This window comes from Homo sapiens, chromosome 5 (genome assembly GCF_000001405.40).
Source record: "Homo sapiens chromosome 5, GRCh38.p14 Primary Assembly".
NCBI classification, from domain to species: domain Eukaryota; kingdom Metazoa; phylum Chordata; class Mammalia; order Primates; family Hominidae; genus Homo; species Homo sapiens.
The window spans coordinates 85,209,783-85,219,012 of NC_000005.10; the positions used below are offsets into that span (position 1 = coordinate 85,209,783).

Sequence of the window (9,230 nt, forward strand, 5' to 3'; positions counted from 1 at the left end):
ATTTTCATTTTATTGAAAATGTCTGGTCTGAGGAAGAACTGGATCTACCTAGCCATCAGCTGTTTTCTGTGTTACAGAGTTATGCACAAGTTTATCAAAATATACAAACAGCAGTGGATCAAGGGGGAAACAGAATAGTTAAATTAATACAAGACTATGAAAATCTATGTGGTGGCTTTCCTGGGCAAATTAGATTTAAAAAAAAATGTCTTCAACGTGTCAAAAAGAACCTTTATTTACTTTCATAACAGCCTCTTATGCATTATTGTCAAATGCATTTGGAGCAGGTGCTCTCGGAACTGGAGTTTTCTGACCCTTCTCAGCTTTTGGAAGAGGACCTGCCTTCTGGCCTGTGGTTTCCTGGGAAGGAGGCTTCTAGGCTGGAGCCTTCTTTCCTGCAGTGGTCCTCTTTATTTTTATTTTTATTTATTTATTTATTTATTATATTTTAAGTTCTAGCGTGCATGTGCACAATGTGCAGGTTTGTTACATATGTATACATGTGCCATGTTGGCGTGCTTCACCCATTAACTCATCATTTACATTAGGTGTATCTCCTAATGCTATCCCTCCCCCCTTCCCCCTAACCCACGACAGGCCCCAGTGTGTGATGTTCCTCACCCTGTGTCCAAATGTTCTCATTGTTCAATTCCCACATATGAGTGAGAACTGCAGAAGCTGCAGCAGCACCTTTAGCAGCAGGTGTTTTTTCAGGAGAAGTTTTCATGACAGCTGCCTCTTGAAGCTTCTTAATTTCATTCTTGATTATTCTGCTCCTCATTTTATTTGCATTCATAACTATAAAATTATCAAAATCTGTCATCTTGGCTTTCCTTTCTATGGCTTCAATCTTTTTGTCCTGCCTTGTGGCTGCCCATTTTGTACTGACATTGGCCTCCTGCCAGGCTTGTCGGACATACTTCTTTAGGGTGCTGTGTACGAACTTGAGGATGAAGTCAGTGAGCCGCATGCATTTGAAAGGAGCGGCCTGTCTCCTTACCCTAGTGCAATGTCCATTAATCAAAGCCCTGTTTTGATCAATAACATTTACAATTGGGACCGGCTTTCTGGCATGAGGTCCAAAGGAGACTTAGGCCACCTGTCCAACCTCTGACACACCTGAACACCTTATGTTGATTGATCCCTACTCTACACTGCTTCTTCAAATGTTAGGCATATTAGTGTTGGTACTATTTCTACAGTAGTTCTATAATGCTACACACAATGTAAGTATGCTGACAGATATGATCATTTGGCTTTAAGGAGTCTGTGACCAGACACTGGAGGTTGAATTGTTCATTGTTTTCTGGCATCACTTCTTAGAATTAAAACAACAAACACCAGCTTGATTATTTTTATTTTTACCCTAAGGGATGATTTGCTTTGCTTGTCTAATGCCTGAAAATTTATTTCTCTATCCTTGAAATTTAACGATTTAAATGAGTTATTTTTTAAAAAACAAAACAAACAATACATTTCTCTCAAATCAATATTCATCTCCCATGATTTCTTGTGCCATATCTTCAATATTATGCATGTAAATAGATTTCCTAATTATTTTTGTTAATCCTCTAGAAGTGCATTGCCTCATATACAAGCTGTTATTTTGTTTTCTTTAAACTTACGTACTTACTTCTTATGTTTAGTGTAATATTAATGTATTTTAATTTTTTTTTTTTTTTTGAAACGGAGTCTTGCTCTGTCACCCAGGCTGGAGTGCGTTGGCACAATCTCGGCTCACTGCAACCTCCACCTCCCGGGTTCAAGCGATTCTCTTGCCTCAGCCTCTGGAGTAGCTGGGACCACAGGCACGTCTGGCATGCCCGGCTAATGTTTCTATTTTTAGTAGAGATGGTGTTTTGCCATGTTGGACGGGCTGGTCTCGAACTCCTGACCTCAGGTGATCCAACCGACTCAGCCTCTCAAAAAGCTGGGATTGCAGGCAAGAGCCACTGCACCCAGCCTTAATTTTTTTTAAGAATGATTTCCATCCTTTGAAATGTGATGAGGCTAGATGAATTAGCTTATGGTTATTGTGATGGTTAATATTGAGTGTCAACCTGACTGGATTGAAGGATACAAAGTATTGTTCCTGGGTGTGTCTGTGAAGGTGTTGCCAAAGGAGATTAACATTTGTGTCAATTGACCAAGACCGACCCACCCTCAGTCTGGGTGGGCACAATCTAATCAGCTGCCAGCACAGTCAGAATAAAAGCAGGCAGAAGAACGTGGAGAGACTAGACTGGTTTAGTCTTCAGGCCTACATCTTTCTCCCGTGCTGGATGCTTCCTGCCCTTGAACATCCAACTCCAAGTTCTTCAGCTTTGGGACTAGGACTGGCTTCCTTGCTGCTAAGCTTGCAGACGCTGTATTGTGGGACCTCACCTTGTGATCATGTGAGTCAATACACCTTAATAAAGTCTCCTCTATATATACATCTATCCTATTAGCGCTGTCCCTCTAGAGAACCCTGAATAATACAGTTATTTTTGTGACATTTCCTTGTGCACTTGAAAAGAATAAATCTCCAGCCATTATTTGTTCCATTGTTCTACATATCAGTATGTCAAGTTGGCTAAATGAATTTTTTAGCTGTTATCTTTCTTTAGTTTTATAACTACTTGCTCTAATACAAAGATGTCTTCTACAGCCTTCTACTATGACTGTGGATTTGTACACTTCTCTTTTTAATTCTGTATATTTTTTGTAAAATATGTTTTAGAATGATGTTTTTTGATATACACATAATTAGAATTACAACTTCTTTCTTTTGGACTGATCCTTTTATTATCATGAAATGTCTCTTTCACTTTTCAAAAAGCTTATTATTAAAAGTATGTGATAGTCTTATAATAATTCAGCTATACCAGTTATCTTTTTGTTGGTGTTTGAATTATAATTTTTTTCTTTTCTTTCACTTTCAACCTTTATATATGTATGTGTGTGTGTGTGTGTGTGTGTGTGTGTATATATAGGTTTTATTAGTTTGTTTTTTTCTATCAAAAATAGACAAACTGACCAAGGAAATTAAAAAAAAAAAAGAAGAATGGGTGGAGAAGGAGTCCAGCAATGGAGTCACTCATACACATTCATCTGACTTAAGCTTAAAGCACTATACTAGGGTGTTAAAATGTTTTATTAAAATAAATGGTTCTATGTCGATTGGATACAAATATAGGAAAAAATGGTTTTAGTATATTATTGACAACATATACAAAAAATTTCCTTTATGTATTACAGTCCTAAATCTGAAAGGTTAAACAAGTGAGCATTTAGAAAAAAAAAGAAAAAAAGAAAAATATTTTATGATATTGGTGTAAGCAAATATTTATTACACAGGATACAAAAAGTCAATAATGTTATACTCAGAAGATTAAAAATAATTTAAGAATCAAAAAAATTAGAATGATAGTTTCCAGCTTCATCCATGTCCCTAATGCAAATGACGAGTTAATGGGTGCAGCACACCAACATGGCACATGTATATGCATATTTAACAAACCTGCACGTTGTGCACATGTACCCTAGAACTTAAAGTATAATAATAATTTTAAAAAATCTAAACAATTAGACAACCAAAAAGGAAAATAAACACAGGTGTAGACAGTCACTCTAAAAGTAAGCTAACTAAATAGACAATGAATAACTTTAAAACATGTTTGATGTTACCTAAGAAAAGCAACTTATGTCCCAAAGCTATACAATAGATCAAAGAGCTTTATGAGTGAAACAAAAATAGGAAAGAAAAAACAGATAATTTCAAGTTTTAGTGAGAAGATGAAGTAAAACAAATCTCATAAACTTAACACTTTAGAAAACTACTTGACACCTAGTAACTCCCTGATACACATATCCCATATTACTTATAGACATATACATAGTTTTAGTAATATGCCCAAAATAAATTTCTACATGTATTCACTAATGGACAAGTAAAATAATGTTTATAGCAGCTTTTTTTTTCTTACAAGCCTTGGTTCAGTAAAACCCCAAATACATATGAACAGAATTATCGATAAATAAACTGTGGTATATTCATTCAATGGGCTACTATTCATACATGTATAGCAAAAAGAATGATTGAACTAAAACTATATTCAAAAACATGAGTGAATCTTCCACACCTAATATTAAGCCGAAGAAGCCAAAAACACAAAATTGTTCATTCTGCATAATTTATTTGTATACTGTTTTAAAACTGGCTGTATATATATATATATGTGTGTTACTAGAAGTCAGAATAACGATTACCCTTGTCATGTAGTGTAACAGCTACAGGAGGATGGCTGGTATATATTCGACTTGTTTTGACATAGGTGCTGATTACATAAGTGTATTCACTTTGTGAAGTATTATTGAGCTGAACACATACACTTTAGAAACTACTGTTTGCTTATTTTGCAACAATAAAATATGTAAAATGAAAAAATACTATAGGTTTGCTATGACCCTATATATTAATGTTATAAAACATACCACAAAGTCAACTGATAAAGAACTTTTAATAATAATGATCTAGACTGTTGTTGAGTCTATATTTACTAACCCAGTTGTGTCATATCTGCCACCAGAATGTGGATTCATTATTTAACTAAGAAAATAAACATTTAAACAAAAGCTAAGCCAATGTGAATATGACAAATTTCAAAGGACAAGTGTATATTGGAAGTGTGAATATCCCCAGACATAATCTATGTTTTTACTCAAAATAGTTCAGAAATCTTAATAGGATGCATATATAATTTACATATACAACTATGAAAAGAAGCATAATAACATTACTTGGCTTTTTTTTTTCCAATTTTACTTATAAACCTACATACTCAAGCAGTCCTTGGATTTTGCTGTTTCTCATTATTTTCTATTGAATAGCAATAGTTAGGGTCATTAAAATGAGAAAGAGTTGGACTAAGTTGGACAACGTTCAAGATTTCAGAGCACACAGTTGGAAAATCACTGTCAAGAGTAAAGTTGGCCGGGCGCGGTGGTTCACGCCTGTAATCCCAGCACTTTGGGAGGCCAAGGCGGGCGGATCACGAGGTCAGGAGATCGAGACCATCCTGGCTAACATGGTGAAACCCCGTCTCTACTAAAAATACAGAAAAATTAGCCGGGCATGGTGGCGGGCACCTGTAGTCACAGCTACTTGGGAGGCTGAGGCAAGAGAATGCCCTGAACCCAGGAGGTGGAGTTTGCAGTGAGCCCGAGATAGCGCGATAGCGCGCCACTGCACTCCAGCCTGGGCGACAGAATGAGACTCCGTCTCAAAAAAAAAAAAAAAGAGTAAAGTTAACTTTGATTGACTTGTTTTTAACTGGCTTTGCAGCTGTAGACTACAACATTATCCCACAGGTTAAATGTTGCTGAAATGATTCTTAGTAGCTCTAGTAAGAGATCATATACTCTCTAAGCTGGGAATTTCAAATAAATTTCTGCTAGACACATGAGTTGGGTGTAAGCTTTGAATAAATTATTTGGTATCTCAGGAAGTTTTTTTTTCCAGTCTAGTGAATGTTTCAGAGACTGACTGTTTACTGCTGACTTCTAGTAGACAGTTTATGAACTGTTTACTTAGTTCAAGGTAGAATAAGCTTTACCAGCAACAAAGTTTCCTGTAGAATGTCTCCTCCAGGAAAAATGCATCAGGATCTTAACTATGAGTGCTGAATGAGATTTAGTTTTCATACAAGCTGTAGATTTTGAGACTAAATACAGAAGTGATACTTGGGTTTCTTTGTTTTTATTTTGCTAAAATGAAAGTGATTGCTACATATCATGACTACTGAAGAATATAGAGTTTTCAGATATTATTCTTATTAGCTCATTTTTAATGTCAAGTTTCGTTACTTTACAGTCATTCTACATGGTTCCTGAAGTTTGAGTGTGATAGAAATGTTTCCAAATATATTTTCCACAATTAAATACAATATTTCAGAAAAACATTTAGTAAGATACATACTAAACACCTTATTGTGTCCTTACCATTGTGATAGATGCTGGATGGTAGAAATATACCAATATATAACACAGATTTTAAACCCTAGAGAAATGTCTTTAGATGAAAATAATTATGTATGTAAAAGAATGTACTCATACATTCATATTCAATAGTATACACTCATATTCTATTGGTTGCATTTATAAATATATATTTATATATTATGTGTTAATATATACTTATATATGTGTAATGTAATATATATTTATATATAATATATTACATATGTATATATAAACTTATTTACATATAAATATAAATATATAGATACATAAGTATATATAATACAAAATATGTAAATATAGCTATATATTATATATAACATATATCATTTATATGTTATATAATATTTATATAAATCTATGTAAATATATATAATATGATTATATGAGCCTATGGTATAATATATTACAGAATAAGTGCTATAAATATCACAAAATATAAAGGAATAACATACAAATTAAGCTGTTTGTTTTCACCAAATTTCATATAACTAGGACTCTTTCACACAAAGGTGAGCCATATAGAAGAATACTTGAAAGTAAGTTTATAAAATTCATTTCCTTTCATTTTAACTCAATAAAATGACTTCCTAATGTAAAACATTGCTGCTAGGCATTTTGTGCACTTTCAGCTGATATTTGTCAAAATGGAAAATTTTAAATCCTTTTTAAAAGGGAGAGATTTTAACGTGCATTTTGAAATATTTTGTCTTTGATATCTGAAAATAAATTGTTATAAAAGTTGTCAAGATCTATGTTTCTTATCACTGAGTTAAATGTTGAAGGATTTCAGAAAGTTACCATACAGCTTGATAATTCTCAGTATTAATCAGTATGATTACAGTAATAGGCAATTAATTAACCTTTTAGGTAGAAGTGTGGCTAAAGGAATTGCCAGGAGGAGGACAGAAGAGAGTTACATATCTTGGTTACTCTGATTTAGCAATCATTGTTCATGTCTAATCACATTACTTACATCAACTCTGTTACATTATTGTCACTTAGATGTATATGGATAGTGATATTTTCCACTTCAATCATAATTTTAAAGATTGAGTGGTTATTTGCTTGACTCAAATGAACACTCCATGATCAGTGAGCCACCTAATGCTACTACTATGAGTATTCTATTCAAAAAATATCTAATTTTCTAAAACTCTTCAAACCAAGCCCTGCTCGAAGGTTTTAGGCCACAGAGATCTTCATGTATATGTCCTGTCACTAAATAAATAATGTAGGTTGTGCTACCCAAACCATGCGAGATATTATTAAGTTTCACTTGAGAACTTGTTTAAGCAAAAAATTGTCTTGTGAAAAAAAAAAAAACAAGCTGGGGGTTATTAAATATTCTGAGGCAAAAAGACCCTCCTCTTAGAGCTTGAAACAATAGTCAGAATATGCTTCTAAATAAGAAAAACAAATGGACTTCTTTTTCCTGAGTTTGTATTTTCAAGTTAATTATTTTCATGTAGGACACCATGATACTGCTAGGCAAACACAATTTCTTTGCCAGTGTCCTGAGTCTGAGAGAAGTAAACAAGAATAAAATGCAGATGCATGCTTATAATTATATAAAATGATATTTTTATATCTGCACAGCCATTTACTGTTTACATGTACAATAATGTCTGTAGGTAGGAGCATACTTTTTTGGTAACAAGAAATTTGGATTTTAAGGAATAATCTTCTCTTCATTTTTGCTTATATAATGATTACTCCAACAACTTTGTTAAATGAGTTCAGTTACTTTTCTGGGCCATGTGTAGATGTAATGAAAAATTAGGACTTGGAAGGTACGTCTATGATTGGTCAACAAACAGAGAATCCACTGCCCCTCCTAATTATCTGACATCCATCTGGCATAAGCAAAGACAGCGTTCTCTTGCTATTCCACTAGCTTATTTGTGCTCAAAAGTGCTTAAAATTGCAACTATGTAATGAAATCAATGTGGGATGCTATAGACAGAATATAAAAATATCAGAATACATGTTTATAAAATAATAGTTATTTAAAACAAACATTTTATTCTATTATTATGGTTAAATAACTTTGGCAAGGGATGTACAGAGTAAAATTGATTCAAATGGGAGAGATTTCTTTGACATTAAAACATTAGTGGAGGTGTTGTGTAGGTGATTTTGCATGTAGTCTAGAAAAGGGTGTAGAATTTGGACATGTTCCTCTATTTTGAGGAAAAAGAGCCAAAGTGTACCAGTAAAAACTAAGAAATATATATATATATATGGGAAAAATTTTATAGAGTAGCTTAAGCATATGGGAAGTAAAATAGGAAAACTTACCTACACCTATATTAAAGGGCTTTTAACTTCTGACCTATGATTTAAAACTGTTTTATGTGATACATCAGTGCAAAGTTGTCAAAGAGGCTGTTGGAATTGGCAAAGTTCCATGAATTCCAATGTTAAAAAACTATACATGGAAACATTTGACAGAGCAGTTAACCAATTTATGTGAATTGGATATAATTTATATAGAAGGAAGCCTAAAAGAAAAGAAGAAAAGAGGCTAAAGAATAGATTTGAGGCATGACATAAAAAAGAGAAAGAGGTAAGAAAGCAATTAGAAGGAAGAATTACAAGATATTGAATTATACCTAGGAAAAAATGGTGTCATGGAAACCAAAGAAGCAGAGAAATTCTTGCTAAGTCTAGCAACCATATCAAAATATACAGAGATGCAGACTGCAAACAAAAAACCAGTATTCAATATTTGTTTTAATTATCCTTATAGAATAGTATAAAATCAGTGAGAAGATGTATGGAATGAAACTAAGATAAACAGTAGACTAGGAAAGTAAAATTAGGGTATTCAGATGAGAAGTATTGAAATGGAAAAAGAAAATGATATATTTACATGTGAAATCAAACTAATGAACTCAAATCTATTATAGAAAATTGTACGTGTGTATATGTGTGTGTGTATACATAGAGATATATACAATCTTGTCTCTATTTTCATGCCCTTTCACACATTTTACTTTGCTGCATGCTATGTGGACAAATCCAGACTGGCTTGCTGAAGAATAAAAGAACACTTGGAACCTGGACGCCCATGCCAGATGAGACAATTTAGTCCAGTCAGCACTCGGCAAGATTGGCAGGTGACTACAGAAGCACTAGTGAGCCCTGCCACCAGCTAAGCCTGGTCCAGCCCAGTAAAACCACCTTCTTAGAGCAACCTAAATTGCCATCCCATAGAATGTAACCTA

The 9,230-nt window shown here is 33.7% G+C and overlaps 1 pseudogene; it reads right to left on the reverse strand.

Moving 5' to 3' along the window:
* Window positions 1-255: 255 nt before the first annotated feature.
* Window positions 256-7,041, reverse strand: LOC101060076 (60S ribosomal protein L14-like; annotated as a pseudogene).
* Window positions 7,042-9,230: the final 2,189 nt, after the last annotated feature.